Below are 17451 nucleotides of genomic sequence, written 5' to 3' on the forward strand. Positions count from 1 at the left end.
TTTTTTTAAAATTAAGTGTTTACAGCTACAAATATTCCTCAAAGCAATATGTTTTGATATGTTGTCTTCATTTTCATTCATCCTAAAGTATTCTGTAATTTCTCTTGTGATACTAGTGATTTAGAAGTGTGTTGTCTAATTTCCACCTATGTGTGAATTTCTCACATTTCCTTCTCATATTGATTTCTACTTTTTTTTGTGGTCAGAAAATGTACTTTTTATGATTTATATCTTTTAAGAATTTGTTGAGACTTATTTTATGACCTCATGTAAGGTCTGTTCTCTAGAATGTTCTATGTGCACTTGAGCATAGTAATGTGTTGAATGTCTTCTGTTGTTGGATAGAGTGTTACATAGATATCCGTGTAGGGAAATTTAAGCTTTCCCTCTGAAACTTTGAGTGTAAGTCTGTCGAAATGAATTAATAATAGATTAATGGGTAGAAAAAGGCATATACTTTTGTTAACATGCATAAATATGGGGTAATTGAAGGACTATGATTACTCAAAAACCCAATGAGGTACAGATGCATCCTTTCTTAGGGGTAGAAGGGAGATGGGGAAATAGGCAGTTCTTTTAAGGGGTCGTAAATGATTATTAGGGGAACAAATGGACCTGGGAGACAGAAGTTAACTTGTAAAGGATCCTCTTTGGAATTTGAATGATCCAATAATATTTGGATCATTGTTCAGAGGCAGACATTATCTTGTGAAAAAGCTTGTAGAGGTGCGATTGTATTCCTTAGGTTTCTTTTCCTCAGTAGATAAAGAGATTTCAGGGAAGGGATGGAAGGCAATTAATTGTGTTTTCTTTGGAGGGTCCGGTCTTAAGGTAGATCACATAATATCAGAGTAGAGCCTGTTAACTCAAAATATCTTTAACCTGTTAAAGTTATCTGAGACCTGTTAGGCCAGGTCTCAGTCTGTTTAGAAAGTTTATCTTGCCAAGGTTAAGGATGCACCCGTGACACAGCCTCAGGGTCCTAACGACATGTGTCCAAGATGGGCAGCTTGCTTTTATACATTTTAGGAAGACATGAGACATCGATCAATACGTTTAAGATGTGCATTGGTTCAGTCTGGTAAGGCAGGACAGCTTGAAGTGAGGGCTTCCAGGTTAGAAGTAGGTAAGAGACAAAAGGTTGCATTCTTTTGAGTCCTTGATCAACCTTCCACTGAATACACAATTTAGTCTGGCTCAGTGAATCTGCATTTTTACATAAACAATAGGGCAGAGAAAGAAATTAGATATGCATTTGTCTCCAGTGAGCCTCAGAGGGATGACTTTGAGTTCTGTCTGTCCTTTGTCCACAAGGAATTTCCTTGTGGGTAAATTGTGAGGGAGGTATGTAGCTTCTTATCTTTGTAGCTATCTTATTTAGGGATAGAATGGGATCAGGTTTGCCTGACATTAGTTCCCAGCTTGAGTTTTCCCTTTGGCTTAGTGATTTTGGGGTCCCAAGATTTATTTTCCTTTCACAAGTCTCTCCCAGCATATGCTGACCTTCAGTGACCCTTAATTTAAAATAATCTGCACACCATGGTGCCATATTTTGGGGTGAAATTCTCTGGGCTTCTTTGTCTGTTAGGTCTAGTTTGCTTATAGTTTTGTTCAAGTCTTCTTTTTCCTGTTCATCTTCTACTGATTGTTCTGTTTTTGAAAGTGGGATATTGAAGTCTCCAAATATTGTTGAATTGTCCCTCTCTCACTTTAATCCTATCAGTTCCTGCTTCATTTTATGTTGGAATTTTCAGTTCTTTGGCAGGCAGTTTAGAATTCTGCTGTAGCCTTCCCTTCCTGCTTGCACAGAGCTGCAAAGTCAGCCATGGGTTATAAATTAGGGCCTTTGAGAATTTCCCTGGGTATGTGCAAAGCCCTTTATATGCATACATCCTTTTAGCACTCCAGGAATATGTTAGAACTTTTCAAAAGCCCCGCAGATCTCCCGTTCTCCAGTTTTTCCTTTTAAGGTTTTTGGTGCACCACTTATTAGTCCCAACTACTAACACTGTCTCAGCCTGCTGTAATGTTGAACAATGGCACTGACTGTTTTCACAAATGTCCTGGGGATAGTGCTGTTCCCACAGAGTGAGTTCTGAGTTAGGGCAAAAAAAAATAAGCCCTGAAAATGGAGCTTTTAAGTAAGCTGCCAGATAGGTCAAATAGTGACAATTCGCTGAGGATGGGGCATTTGAGGGGCTACAAGATTGACACAGGAATTTTCTCTCGGTCCTTTGCCGGACTTGCAGCAGGGGCACCCTGTCTTCTTGGCCTGCTGCGCTCAGCCCCTTGTGGGAGGGAGCACATGAGCAAGCCAGTGTGGGATCCGGCTGGCCACTCCAAGTGCTGACACAGGAACAAGCTCCATGTGAGGCCCGCGGTCTTGAGGGGAATGCAGCAGCACCCAGACAAGGGTGCCCACGACCCTGAAGCCCCAGATGGGGTGTTAGTGTGCTAATTAGCTCTTTTAGTTTTACCATCCATAGCCTGATGGACGGCAGCATGTTAGCAGCTCGGTCGGCCTCTGGCCCCATTGTGTGGGGTGGCTGCCCTTTGCCAGCGAAGGCAAAAGGCCAGTGTAACAGCCTTTCTAGGTACCCACACTCGGTGGGTCCCCAGCTCTTGTCCAGCATCCAAGAAGAATGAGGATATGCTGGCAATTGAAGAGTGAGCAAGGTAGGGAGTTTTATTGAATGATGAAATGGCTTTCTGCAGAGAGGGGATACAGGGGTGGTCCCACTACCCGAAGGCGGGCAAGTCCCCTCAATGTGGTGAGTCTGGGGCTACTGTGGGCTCAGAATAGGGGAGGGGCAGGCTGTAGCAGTATTGGAAAAGGCAACATTCGATTGGTTAAAAGGCATTATTCAGAAAGAATCAACTGGGAAAGGATGTGCAGACAGAAACAGAAGTTCTCACTCCAAGTTGCAGGTTTCATCCGGACCAGTAATCTGGTCTTTCAGCCTTCAGGCTGTTTTTTGGCTTGAAGGTGGGGTTTCACAAGGGACCCGCCCCTATCTGCCTAGGCATTTGACTACCCCCTGTCGCTATCAAACCCACTGTGTTCCACTTGTTTTCACAGCTGCCCAAGTTGTAAGGCAATATTGGTTTTCAAAACTACAGTAGAGCTGGAGAAAGGGAGATGGCAATACATAAAGTTAAAACTCTAAAATTCACTGGTCTTCCTGAGATTCAGGCATTTTTCTGAATAAACATTCCTCAGATTATGGCAAATTTTTAGTTAATTTCAAGAGTTCTGAAAAAGCCAATTTGACAGTTTTTACCAGTGTTTGTATTGCTTTTATGGAGGAGATTTTTGCAGGTCCTTACTCCACCATTTCTGAGGTCTGTTTCTCTGGGTTTTGATTGTGTTCTGTTTGGTCTTTTTTCCTCTCTGTTTTTCACCTTGGATGATTTCTATTGCTCTTCCTTCATATTCATTTGCTCTTAACTCCTTCATGTCAATTCAACTGTTAAATCTGCTCAGTGATTTTTTTATTTTCAACAGTTATATTTTTCGGTCTAATTTCCATTTAGTTCTTGTTTTTGTTTTCTCTGCTGCAACTCTTCATTTATCTGTTGAAATTTTCATGCACTGAAACCATTTCTTTTGCTTAAGGATAATTATAATAGCGCTTTAAAATCTTTGCTTGTTCTCACATTTTGTTCATCCCAGGATTGGACTTGATTCACTTTTAAGAAGAATATATTTTATTTTCTTGGTTTTTCATGCTGGATAATTTTGGACTGTATCTGGATATTATGAATGTTACATTGTGTGGAGAGTATGGGTTCTCCAGTGAGTATTTTTCTCCATTGCTCTATCAGGTATTTTTCACCACTGAGTATCGTCTTCCATTGTTTTATCAGATAATTTTCTTGGTGGGCTTGAATTGCAAACCCTCTCTCTTGTGCAGCTCCAGTCTCTCCTCAGGTCATTTCTGGATGGCTGATCTGCTTTGATTCTGATCCACACGCATGGGTCAGGGGTCAGACAGTGATGAGGGTAGACAGAGTTTGGGGATCCTTCCTCTTTCTCTTTTCTTTGCAAGATTCTCCTATTTTTTTTTTTTTTTTTTTTTTGAGACGGAGTCTCATTCTTTCGCCCAGGCCGTTACTGCAGTGGCGCTATCTCGGCTCACTGCAAGCTCCGCCTCCCGGGTTCACGCCATACTTCTGCCTTGGCCTCCCGGCAAGATTCTCCTAATTTTTAAACTGTTTATGTTTCTTAACTTCACGTTTCCCTTGCCAGAAAGATTGTTGCTTTTTCTGTGATGGCCTCCAGCTCTGCTGTGCTTGCCACACAGACAGCACTTAGACCCAGGCCAAAAGCCACAGAGGTGGTAATTTACTTGTACAGCTAACTCCCTATCTCCGCTTCTCCAAGTGAAGGAACTCTCCACCAGAGCCCACGTGTTTCTCTCCTCACTCCAAAACCTTCAGAGAGGGAGCTCCATTCTTGATCCTGGTTTTTTGTCTTTGACTAAGCTGCTTTGAGTCTTTTTCCTGCATGGTGGTTTAGTAAATGGATCCACTTCAGATGTGGGCAGACAATTTGGGGATCTCTTCTTTGATTCTTTACCTTTTGGGATTCCCCAACTCTATTCCATATTCGTGGTTCCCTGACCTCACTTTTCTGATCGCCGCCGTGCCAGGAAGGTTAGGGGCCTTTCCATGCCTCCCTATGTGTGCAGTTCAGAGTACGCTTACCTCAGGGACAGGCCAGAAGGAAGGACAGTGTGGCTGCCTGTCTCTCCTCCCCCAAATGAGGCTGAAGTCCTCACCAGTTCATGCTTCTGCTCAGTCCTCAGCAACTCTTTGGTATCTTCAGGTAGTTACTTTCTGTATGATGTCCAGGTTTTATAATTTTTTACTGTAAGGGTGGGGGTGAATGAGTCATTTTATAGTCTTAACTTCCCGTACCTAATAGTAGCCCTGAACCTAATCTTTTTGAGGCAAAGTTGAAAATTGCCTTTCACATCTCTCTCTACCAGAAATGAAAGTGGAGAATTAAAACGTCTGAATGGAATTGATGATCTTTTATAATGAAAAGTTGTCTAAAAGAAGATATTGGGAAGAGAAAGGTTGTAGAAAATTAAGTACTGTGTCAGTTCATTTCAGCATACAATTTACTAATTACCTACGTATGTGCCAGACACTATTCTCGATGCTAGAAATACAGAAATGTCACATACTCTGCTCATAAGAGGCTCACAGTAGTGGAATAATGGAGATGGGTAAGTTAAACAAATACGTTTAGCTCTCTCTAGGAATATCGTGAGCTAGATATATTCTACCTGAGATTTCCAGCAAGAAAGGTGTGTAAATCAAAAAATGTCTGAGACAAGTCTCAATTTAGAGGTTTATTTTACCAAGGTTGAGGACACACTAGGAGAAACATACACAAGCTACAGTAGGATCTTCGGCCTGTGCTTTTTCCACAGAGGGTTTTGAGAACTTCAGTGTTTAAAGGGTAGAGAGTGGGCAAGAGGGAAAAGAGGAACAGTTAATTATGCATTTGTCTCATGCTCAGTGAATCTGCATTTTACAGAAGGTAATGTAATGCCCAACCTTGTTTTCACTAACCCTGTTTTTAGACTCTCCCTTTTGCTCTCGTAATCACCTAGCCTTGTTTCCACATGAATAGACTCCCTTAGCTGAGAAAGCTGGACGAGCTCCATCTGGCCCCCTTGATTTACAAGACATTAAGGACTCCTTACCCACCCCTCTTTCCTCAAGGAGTTAACCTGTGTAAGCAGATTGTCAACATATCAAAGGAGTCCAGTTAACTGATAAGGTACTGGAACAAACCATGTATGAAGTTCCCAGCATTTTGCTCAAAAGATAACACCATAAAGCCTTCAGTTTGTGTCCGGCGTAGTGCCCATATCTAACTCTTATGAAGGATTTAGAGCCCCGCACCTGGTACCTTGCTTTTTTTGTAACCATTTGTCTTTTAAATTGTTTGTTTCCCTGTAACCATTCGTCCTTTTAATTTTTTTGCATGTTTTTACTTCTGAAGAGTTGTTGCATTTAAGCTCCCCTCCCCTTTCTAAACCAAAGTATAAAAGTTAAGCCCCTTCCTCGGGGCCGAGAGAATTTTGAGCGTTAGCCTTCTCTTTGGCTGCCGGCTGAATAAAAGACTCTTAATTCGTCTCAAAGTGTGGCGTTTTTCTAACTCGCTCAGGTACAACAGTAAAGTAAACATAGAATAGAGGAAGAAGTCAAATATGCATTTGTCTTGGGATGGGCTGAGGAATAATTTATAGTCTTATCTTTGTCCAGTGCCTGTGAAGATCAGCTATTAATTTACATTGTCAGGGTGAGGGAGGCCAGCTGGGGAGACATGGCCTTCTATCTTGCAGCAATCTGTTTAGGAACCAAAGGTAGCCAGGATTTTCGTTTGTTTGTTTTTGTTTTTGTTTTTTACATGACTCAATTCCGAAGCTTAACTTTTCCTTTTGGCATAGTGAGTTTGGGATTCTGAGACTTTATTTTTCTTTCACTCGTGTTTATCTAGTTAGCCAATAAACATTAAGTTGTTATGCCATGCAGGTGGTGATCACCATGTGTCATACGAGTTGATGTGAATCAAATGACATTTGGAATGGAAGCAAAATGTAGTTATTCATACATTTGGAGCAATTCATGTTTACATGCACTAACAACATCACAGATTTTGAGTATTTGTGAAAGATTACTGATAAAGGCATACACTTGCTTGCATTATGTCCAGTATTCATATTACCAAAAATAGAAACTCCAGCTCTTCATTATTGCCAACCACAGATTCCCATCATCTGTGCGCTGTGGGCGTTCCCAGTCACTTCACCCTGTTGATGCTCCTGCTCCATTCTGTATTGCCCTTGACCCCTTGGCTTCAAACTTTGTCATATTATCTTTCTGATTTCTTTAGTCAGAGAACAGGCTCGTATCACAAGATGGCAGAATCTTACATTTTTTATGTAACTTAGAATAGAAAGGGCCCTAAAGATCATTTAGTTTAGTTCTGTTACTTTAAACATTTGGGAACAATGGCCTTTTCAGCCCTAGAGCACGGTAGGTGGTAAAAGTCCATATTACAAATAAGAAGACAGTATGGTTATGCCTTAACACTAATTAATTGGTTCTGATGTACAGTTCATCAGCTCATTGCCTGCCCTACACCTTCCCTTGGCCCCAAGTTAGTTAGGCCAACAGTACATAGATCTCTACCCTCAGATCTATTCCTTCTACATCTATCTTAGGGTAGCTTATATTGCTCTTGTGTCTGTGACAAGAATCTAATGGAAACTCAAAAGCCAATAAAGTGGTCTTAACTTCCTGTTATTTGGGAATATACTTACCTCACCTTAAATGCCAAGTTTTATTTTTTTGTTTCTACATAAAGATTATTTTTCTGAAAAGGTTTTGAGAGAAAATTGCTGAAGATACTTCTCTTTCTATTTTAGATGAACAAGTTGTTATGGGCAATAAGCTCCTTGTATATATTAGGTAAGATTGTTTTATTTATTCATCTGCATGTATGTTCTTTCTATATTTTTCCTATATTTTTAGAGATACTATGATCTCTTATCTATATAGTACTTTTAATTTTGCACAATTCTTTTATGTAGAGCAGTGGTTCTCAACCATGGATAATTTTGTCTCCTACTCCCTGGAGATGTTTGGCAACATCTAGAGACATTTTTGGTTGTTATAACTGGGGCTAGAGAAGGGATGCTACTGGTATCTAGTGGGCAGAGGCCAAGGATGCTGCTAAGCATCATACAATGCACAGAATAGCACAACAAAGAATTATCTGGCCCGAAGTATCAGTAGGGCTGAGGTTGAGAAACCTTGGTGTTGAAACCCGGGTTTTTTATGTTTACTAGTGACACCTATGTGGGATGTGTATTGTTTCTACATATGAGGGCAAGAGACTTGTTCAAATCATGAAAAAGTTAGTAACAGAGGTAAAACTAGAATGTTTATCTCCTGACTCCTGGAGCAGGGTTCATTCTAGTAGACTATGCCAGCTCAGAATTGAGCCCTGATAGAACTTTTCGGTAGATGACTATTTGTCAGGAAGGTGGCAGAACCTAGCAGAACATCATTTGAGCTCATATCTAATGTCAGAGTTAACTTTGAAACCTGTTTCACACTTGTTACATTGATTCTTTAGTGTGAAAGAAATACGCATTTACTTAGTGCTTTATCATCTGTACCTTAAACTCTTCAGGATATGCTGGTGTCCAGTTGTCTCCAGTCTAACATTGAAAATTGTAGTTTAAAAAGCTTTAAAATTTGCTCCCTCCCCGCCAAAAAATAGAAAAAAGGTAGACATGTTCAGATGACATTTGTAGTAATTCAGCTCACAAGGCAAGTCTTTAGCCATGAAGAAGGTTTGATTTGGAGGTAAAACTGTAGGGTGAATTTCTCTTCAGATTCTAATTCTCCCCGGTTTGTCCTGTCGCAGACTTCCCAGACATTTAGCCTCTTTCCCCATCTTTAATACCATTCTTAGAGACCCTGGTTTAACAGTATCTGAGAACGCCAGGCTTTTAACAGATTAATCATAGTATAATGGTGCCATTAGGCACCATCTTTCTAGACGCTGGGTATGAGGCCTTTAGAAGTCTGTCCTCATTCCTTCTTGCCCCTTTAATAGAGCATTGGTTTTTCTTAGGAAACATACGAAGAAACGAAAGCTCCCACTCAGTCACAGGATGCATTACCTCACCTCCATATCTGTTGCCCACATTTTCTAAACTGGGTGTCATCTTGACCTGCTTTGGAACTTGACCTAACTGACAAAAGCTGAGCCTACTTACAAATTGAACTAGTATCTCAAGTTTGAGAAACAATGTGTTACTCGCTTGAAAGTTATCCCCTTTACAAGTCACCATATCCATTCTCATTCTTTTCTTCTAGCTGTTGTCTAGCAGGTCGTGCCTATCCCCTTGGTGACATCCCTGAAGATCTGGTTCCCTTGGTTAAAAACCAGGTTGGTACTATTTTTATAGCCTTTTGACTGTTCTCCGTCTCTGGTTAAGACGCACTGAAGACAAATTGCAGTTGAGGCTTACACGTGGGTCAGGAGCTATCACCTGTTGCAGGAGAGAGCTTACACACTATTACTAAAGTCAATAATTAGAGCTGAGAAAGAATTTAAGAGAGAACTTAAAATACAGTAGCAATTTAAACTGAATTCAGCCTGCCTTTATTTTATCCAAATGAGAATCACTGCTTCAGCAAGATACTTTGTCAGGTGAGAAAATAATCAACATTTTTTTCCCAACTTGCAGGTTTTTGAATTTCTAATTCGCCTGCATTCAGCAGAGGCTTCTCCTGAGGAAGAAATCTATCCTTACATTCGGACTTTGCTACATTTTGACACAAGAGAATTTCTAAATGTATTGGCACTGGTAAGAGACAGTATTATTTTAAGGTGTTTTCAAAGAAGACAGAGCAATAATTTTTTGGCGGGGTGTGGTGGCTCACCCCTGTAATCCCAACACTTTGGCCGAGGCAGGCAGATCATCTGAGGTCAGGAGTTCCAGACCAGCCTGGTCAACATGGCAAAACCCCATCTCTACTAAAAATACAAAACTTAGCCAGGCATGGTGGCAGGTGCCTGTAATCCCAGCTACTTGGGAGGCTGAGGCAGGAGAATTGCTTGAGCCTGGGAGCCGGAGGGTGCAGTGAGCTGAGATTGTGCCTTTGCACTCCAGCGTGGGCTACAGAGAGAGACTCTGTCTCAAAAAAAGAAAAAAGAAAAAGCAATATTTTTTAATAGAAAAATCCCATAATTCTTATGCAGGTACAGTTTTTATGCACTAGCAGTAAGTCAGGGTTTCAAATGTTTAATTTTGTTGTGCTACCCATTTTTTTCTCTAGTTCCTTGCCTTCCTCCCTTTCCCTCTTCCTCCCTCCCTCCTTCTATCCCTCCCTCCTTTCCTCCCTCTCTCCTTCTCTCTCTTCCTTCCTCTCTCTCTAACACACACTCATCAAAAAGTTAAGGAGAACTTAGGGCCTGGCATACAAAACATGGAAGGGAGATGCTGAAGGAGATGCGGTAGTGATGATAGTAAAAATAGCTGGAGTCGAAATGGAACGCGGAAGCTTTTTGCTGAAAAAACACCTTTATACGTGTTCAATTAGAGATGAACATGTACAATTTGGGTGAGCCAGGTTGTCTGTGCAAATGCCCCTGGGGAGTAATTAGATATAATGTATCTTCTGAATTAAATGGTATTGTTGTTTTTTGAAAAGCTTTTGATATTATGGAAAATGCTTATAGTGTTTAGCGAAAGCAGCAGGCACACGAATATGCAAAACACACATATACACAGTATTTGGAGAAAAAAAGACAGGACGGAAATACACCTAAATATTAATAGTGATTAACTCTGTGAGATGAAGCAAATTTCCCTAATAAGCCTATACTACTTTTATAAATTGAATTATATAAATATAATAAACTATTAAATTATTTTAAAAAGGTAAGTACTCATGAGAAGGTTATTATCATTTGAATTGGTTTAATTTGAAAATCTGACATCAGAAGTAGTAACTTTAATTGCATAGAAAGAAGAGAGGGAGAAACTTAGAAGTCAGATCTAGTTGGTTTAGGAAATTTTAAATGTCCAGAGGGGAACATAAGGGTAGTTGGTGACTGGCACATAGGAAAAAAAGAAACAAGAAGTGATGGAGGAGGAGGTTTAGAAAGAGTGTTAGAGAAAACAAAGAACTTAATGTAATTTTTATTTCTTTAAGGGCTGTGGTAGCACCGAAACACATTTGGAATTATGCTGATGTCTGAATTATGACACTGGGATTTATAGTAAGGCTTCAAAACAGTCTCTGATTTGGTTGACAAATATTTGAGTGCATGGTATATCCCATGTATTATCTTCATTAGGGGATGCAGCCTTGGCAACAAGATATAAACTGCTTTTGTGGAGGAAGAGGATCCAGACTTGTAGATAAATAATTATAGCACAGTGTAATATATGCCTTAGGGGAAGTACAGGATGCTATAGGAACACTTAATGAGGGGCACCTACTGGAACGTTAGGGAATGTTTCTGAGATAAAATGGTGTCTACACTGAGTCTCAAAACATTAATAGAAGTTAGTCAGGGGAAGGGTAGGAAAAAACATTGTAGGCAGAGGGCTGAATATATAGAAAGGCCTGGAAATGAGACAGAGCAATGAGTATTCAAGTAATTGAAAAAAATTCAATATAGCTGCATCTTTTAAGTATAAGGAGAAGTACAGAGAGAAACAAATCCAGAGAGGTAGGCAGATACCGAGTCTTGCAACCTGCAATAAAAAATTTGGACTTCCTTCTTTTCTTCCTTCCTTCCTTCCCTCCTTCCCTCCTTCCTTCATTTTTGAGACGGAGCTTTGCTCTTGTCTCCCAGGCTGGAGTGCAATGGCATGATCTCGGCTCACTGCAACCTCCACCTCCTGGGTTCAAGTGATTTTCCTGCCTCAGCCTCCCCAGTAGCCAGGATTATAGCACACATCACCACACTTGGCTAATTTTTGCACCATGTTGGCCAAGCTGGTCTCGAACTCCTGACCTCAGGTGATCTGCCCACCTTGGCCTCCCAAAGTGCTGGGATTAGAGGCGTAAGCCACCACACCTGGCCAAAATTTGGACTTTATACTACAGCAGTTGGTAGCAATTGAAGCCTTTTAGGAAGAAAAATATATTAATTTTATACTTTAAAAAGATTCCCTTTGACTCTTGTGTCTTAGTCTGTTTGAGCTGCTATAACAAAATGCATAGATTGGGTGGCTCATAAACAACAGAAATGTATTTCTCACAGTTCTAGAGTCTGGGAAGTCCAAGATCAAGGTGCTGGCAGATTCTGTTGGTTTAGGCACACGTCCGAGAGGCTTCCCTCCTAATAACCATCACATTGGTGATTAGGTTCTCAACATGAATTTGGGGGCATACAAATGGATTGAAATGAGATAAGATGGAGGCAGGGAGATCTGTTAGTAAATTTTGTAGTAATCTAAATAGAAGATAATGGTAGCTTAAATTAGGGCAGTGGCAGTAGGGATACCAAGAAGTGTAAGATATTTTAAGAGGCAAATCAGCCTCATAAAGAAGAATCGGTGATGGAGGCCACATGTAGCCCCAAAGCCAGAAATATTTACTGTCTGGCTCTTTACAGAGAATGTTGACCCGTGGATTAGGAGGTAGCTTGCTATCATTATTTTACAGAAGCCCCATAGTAATTTTTGAAGTACTACAAAAATATTTTTTTATGTCCAAATTCACAGATGACTTACAACTTGGGTTTTAGGTCTACCTTTGTACTTCAGAAACTGTAATTCTCCATTAGTACATCTTTGCATATTATTCCTCTAGTAAACATCCATAATTAGAAGCATTTTTGTGGGATGATAATGGTCTAACAATGTGCCATTTTGGTGGCAGATGTTAACTACCACCAAAATAGTCATTAAGCATATCATAATATTCACACTGTGGTATATCACCACTTAATTATGTTCACAGAATCAAACTACCAATATCTGTTTCAAAGGAGTGACTACTTGCTGCCAAAAGGAAAATGGTGAAGGAAATTCTTTTTTACTTGCTGTCACTGCCGTAGTTTTTAAATGCATGTGTTAATTCTCCATGGTTTTGTATTTTAGTTGAATAGCATTTATATTAGTGGATGGTACCTTCCCTTTGTACCTGCAGAGTATCATCTCACTTTAGCAGGCAGGGATGGGTGTCTATGTATGTGTGTGTTTGTTGTTCTCATGAATCCGAAGATAGAACTGAGAGAGACTTTGTAGTCCGTCTTCCTATCTTCAGTCAGGGTCATATTCAACCCACATATACATCAGAATAACTTCTATTGAGCCTTCCACAGTAAGAGTTCCTACAGTCTCCTTGGTAACTCGTTTCAGCATTTCCCAGCTACCTGGCAGTAAAGCAGACTAGTTGAAAAAAAAAGTTGAGAATATTTTGTTTTTCTGTGCATCAAACAGGAGAAGGAAGGGAAGGACATACTAATAAGAGAACAGCATGAGCAAAGGTACTTTGGAGAAATTGGGGGAAATTCAGGCCCATTTAAAGAACAGTAACTACTCTTGTTTGAACAGGAGTATGATGTAGTCTTGAAAGTTCATGGCTGTGAAATTCCTTTTTATTTTTAGTCTACTGGGACAATGCGTAGTTCATTTTCTTGTTTCAAGGAAATAGCAATAAATTAGTGCTACGTGGATTTAAACATTTCTCAGAATCAAATGAACTAAGTGAAAACCATAGGAACTATCTTTAAGTCTTTCATCATTCTTATTGTTCAGTAAAAATTTTCATTTCCATTTTTTGATAGTGGACATAATCTCAATTTCTTCATATATACTATATGTACTAGGTTTTTTGTGACACGCTGTTACATATACTGACAAACAGAATCTGGTATTGTAATTTATTTTGATGCATGTTATGTTCAAAGTATTTTGGCTGTGCTTGATCAGTTACATAAAATAAAAGTTGCTATAGTTGGCAGTGTTTTGAGAATAGTAAGTAGGCTTGAGAATTTTAACCTTTTTTTTACCATAATAATTTTTAAAAATGCCTATCTTTGGACATCATTTTTCTTAATTGTCATGGAAATTGTGAAAGTTATTTTTATGACAGTTAATAAAATGTGTCTTAGTTATTTCCAAATAACAGACTGAATGATGGCTGAACATGTAGTATTTTATCCTTCTGTTCTCAAACCTTTGCTCCCAAATTACCTCTTTTCATTAGTGTTATCGCTCTCTTTTTTTTGCTTATGGACTTTGCCTTCCTTCCTTTCTCAAATTCTTATTTGTGATTTTTTTTTAAGTCTCAGAATACTGTGCAATATTAAATGCCATAGCTTTCTACTTGACTCACTAAAAATAATGTCACGCAAGGTGTATAAGACAAAACCTAATGAGGAATAGTTATCTTATTTGAGAAATTACTTGGATTTTATTAACAAGAATTTAATAACTTGTTTTCTTCTACATGTGCAAATAATAATTACTTTAAAAAATTTATTTCTCCCTTTTAGACTTTTGAAGATTTTAAAAATGACAAGCAAGCTGTGGAATATCAACAGCGAATTGTGGATATTTTGTTGAAAGTAAGTATTCAAAGAATACATGTCTTTATATTGATATTTATATTAAGATAGTTGAGCTGTTTTATAGCAGGTTATAAAATAATCTTGTTAAGTGGTTTCTTGGAATCATATCGTAAAATTTTATTACGGTGTCTTTGTTCTCAAGAGCTGAATTAAGTACTAATTATTTATTTTAAAAAATTTTTAGTGTATGTTGGCTTTAGACTGGGGACCGGAATAGAGGGCACTACTGTGAGAAAGGCATATGGTGATAATTGCTATGTTAGTATGATTACGTGTAATAATAGAGACTAACTTCAGAGTGCTTTGAGAAAACAATTAATATGGAGAATCTTCCTGTGTCTCATGCCAACTTCACTTTGTTGCTAAGGCAGTGCCGTATTCTATCATGGCACTGAGATGCTGGATGACACTTAAGAATGATTTGAGGCACACAGAAATGATCATCCCAGTATAAATCTAATTAGATTCAGGAGAAAGCTGTCTTGAGATTGATGCTGTTGCTAATGAAGAATGCAGGGAAAGGTTCTTTGCTTTTCCATCTGCATGACTTCAGGCAGGCCAGTTTCCTCTTGTAGTTGAAAGCTTAGAGTTTTTATTTTTGTTCATTTGGCTGTAAAGTGGAGGTTTCTTTCTTTTAATGTTAAATTATTTTGGACAAGACACCAGAATTAAAGTGTTTTCTAGTTGTGCATAACATCAATATGCTACATTTATAATAGTTCTGTATGTTTATATACGTTATTTCTTTTGAGCTATCAATTAATATTAATTTAACCTTGTAAGACAGGCAGTGATGATTATGAAAATAGGATTGCTGACCTGTCAGATGATGCCAGTTTGATTGAGTTGGCTAGTATGGAGAATTTTCACCTAGATTTATTCCCAGTCTTGTCCTCCTTTAATTTGTGACCTTGCCTCTCTTCTACCTAATACTCTTCCATGGCTTCCTATTGGTCATTTGGAATTGAGTTCTGCTGTGAGAGAAAACTCAAAATAACAATAGTTTAATTGTGATGGGAATTAATTTTTCTCATAGAAGTCTGGAAGTAGGCAACCTGGTTTAGTAGAGTGACTTCATAAACTCAGGGACGCAGATTCCTTCTGTCTTAGTATTACACTTAGTACGTGATTTCCATCTTTCCATCCAAAATGGCTGCTCCGGCTCCTGCTATTACCTCTGCATTCTAGCCAGCCTGAATGTAGAAAGAGATGAAGAAAATGTTCCCTCTCCTTAAGGAAACTTCTTAAAAACTGTGTAATACAATTCTGCTTACACCGTGTAAGGCCCCTTGGTTGGTGGGGGAGATGGAGAAACATAGTCTGTATTCTTGTAACCATGTGCTTAGCTAAACATGAGGAGTTCTGTTTTTCTTCTTCTTCTTTTTTTTTTGAGACTGAGTCTTGCTCTGTTGCCCAGGCTAGAGTGCAGTGGCACGATCTCAGCTCACTACTCCTGGGTTCAAGCAATTCTCCTGCCTCAGCCTCCAGAGTAGCTGCGATTAGAGGCACCTGCCACCACACCCAGCTAATTTTTGTATTTTTAGTAAAGATGGGGTTTTCACCATGTTGGCCAGGCTAGTCTCGAACTTCTGACCTCAGGTAATCCGCCCACCTCAGCCTCCCAAAGTGCCGGGATTACAGGTGTGAGCCACTGTGCCCAGCCCTGAGAAGTTCTGTTTCTAAGTTAGGAGGGAAGACTAGATGTTGGAGCATAAGTAATAGTTTCTGCCATACCCGTCTAAACTGTTGAACATCCAAGATCCCTCTATATATTCTGGTCCTGACTAGGTCTCTATAACTGGTCCCTTCTGTCATCCATCTCGTCATCCTACCCCACACACCTTGTATTAGGACCCTCAACCATATTAAATTATTAGAATTCACTAGACTCTCTGTGGTGTGTTCATAGTTTATGTTCTTTGCAAGGGTTTTCTTTCAGCCTGTCATGCCTTTTCCTTTCACTGACTGGCAAGTTCCTAATCATTTTCCAAGACTTAACTGAAATACCATCTATGAGAAACTGTTTTGAACGCTCTCCCACACATCTAGGTTGATTAGTTGCTCCTTGTCTGTGCTCAGGCAACACTTTATGCTTCAGTTAGCACACTGTAGTGTCATGTTTACATATTTTCTTATCTGTCTTATGTAGACTTGAGCTTCCTGAAGGTAGAGACTGTGAGGATTATTCTAATTATTATTATTATTACTGTTTTGGTCATTGTTTTAGCATGCCTAGAACAGATCCAGCACAATGCCTGTAACCCAGTAGATGTCAGATAAATGTAAGTTGGTTACATTGTAATTTGAGTTTAAAACTATACTAAGTTGGAAGAGTGATCCAAATGAAGAGAAAGCTCCGTAAGTATTTGACTATTTCTGTTGGTGACTTGCCATTCTTGTATGTTGTCTTGATAGTGTTTATCTTGCGTCAATGAAGAATGAGATTTTGAGATTATTTTTTTCATTTCTAGTGCTAGAGATGTGCTAATTGGTTAAAGTGTACTTGTGAGGGATCCGGTGAGAGGAGGAGTATAGGCAGTGACCAGAGAACAGGCCAGTGGATGTTATCATGTGTGCTGAATGGCTGCAGACAGAGGAAACATCTATTAATTTGTGACTTTTTACATTGCCCAGAAAATTTGTAAGCATGGTCTCTGAAATAGGCTAAAGAGAAGAAATGGAAAGGAAATGGCCTTTTGTAGGATAATAACCAATTAGACACTTGCTGAGTTGATGAGGGAATTCTCATATATATATAAGAATATATATATATGAGATAGAGTTTTTATAACTTGAAATACCCACATATTCTAATAATAAGTTTGCACTTGACAATTGATGATTACTGGACTAAAAGCAGAAAGGGCAAAAGAGAGGGATGCAAGAAGTAGGTCAAAAGCTAGGGAATGTTGTATAATGGGAGAAACCTGGTACTTTATCTTTGAATGGAGGGTGGAAGGAGGGAACTTGGAACTTTTTATAGATGTGTGAGGGTGCTATACCCTGATTTGTTGTAGAGTTGCCCCCATGAATTCAGCTCGCCCAAAACAGTACATAGTCTTCCCTCCTACACTTCTGCATTCTCTCTGTTAATGGCATCATTATCCCACCTGCCAATCAGGCTCAAAAAATGTCCTGTTTCATTGTTCCTTTAACCACATGTTTCCACACATAGGAATACTTGTCCTGTCCCCCCTGTCTCTGCCTCTTTCCATTTTCATGATCACTGCCTTACTTAAGAGCCCTTTAGTCTCTCCCTTAGACTCCTGCAGTCACTTGTATCTTGCTCTCCCTGCCTTCTGTTTCTTTCTTCTGTTAAT

General features: G+C 39.3%; 1 protein-coding gene across 25 annotated transcripts in view, besides 3 other annotated features; it reads left to right on the forward strand.

Annotated features, from left to right (window-relative positions):
* Window positions 1-17451, forward strand: part of VPS8 (VPS8 subunit of CORVET complex) — a 240449-nt gene that overhangs the window by 93905 nt on the left and 129093 nt on the right. For 22 of the 25 annotated variants that reach the window (XM_047447824.1, XM_024453426.2, XM_047447823.1 and 19 more), the window contains 4 exons: window positions 7449-7491; window positions 8911-8983; window positions 9285-9404; window positions 14057-14128. In XM_047447824.1, coding sequence (XP_047303780.1) covers window positions 7449-7491; window positions 8911-8983; window positions 9285-9404; window positions 14057-14128 — 308 coding nt within the window. Of the gene's footprint in view, window positions 1-7448; window positions 7492-8910; window positions 8984-9284; window positions 9405-14056; window positions 14129-16358; window positions 16414-17451 lie in introns of all 25 variants that reach the window. The other 3 variants (NR_146113.2, XM_017006041.3, XM_047447828.1) reach the window with 1 other exon arrangement.
* Window positions 509-1170: an enhancer, noted in NCBI's record as "NANOG-H3K27ac hESC enhancer chr3:184624367-184625028 (GRCh37/hg19 assembly coordinates)". NCBI's record gives its function as "activates a minimal SCP1, AML or CMV promoter by ChIP-STARR-seq in primed H9 embryonic stem cells {active_cell/tissue: H9 hESC(primed)}" and the evidence as "EXISTENCE:reporter gene assay evidence [ECO:0000049][PMID:30033119]".
* Window positions 1171-1831: an enhancer, noted in NCBI's record as "NANOG-H3K27ac hESC enhancer chr3:184625029-184625689 (GRCh37/hg19 assembly coordinates)". NCBI's record gives its function as "activates a minimal SCP1, AML or CMV promoter by ChIP-STARR-seq in primed H9 embryonic stem cells {active_cell/tissue: H9 hESC(primed)}" and the evidence as "EXISTENCE:reporter gene assay evidence [ECO:0000049][PMID:30033119]".
* Window positions 5974-6537: an enhancer, noted in NCBI's record as "NANOG-H3K27ac hESC enhancer chr3:184629832-184630395 (GRCh37/hg19 assembly coordinates)". NCBI's record gives its function as "activates a minimal SCP1, AML or CMV promoter by ChIP-STARR-seq in primed H9 embryonic stem cells {active_cell/tissue: H9 hESC(primed)}" and the evidence as "EXISTENCE:reporter gene assay evidence [ECO:0000049][PMID:30033119]".

The sequence above is a fragment of the Homo sapiens genome, chromosome 3, assembly GCF_000001405.40.
Source record: "Homo sapiens chromosome 3, GRCh38.p14 Primary Assembly".
Taxonomy (NCBI): domain Eukaryota; kingdom Metazoa; phylum Chordata; class Mammalia; order Primates; family Hominidae; genus Homo; species Homo sapiens.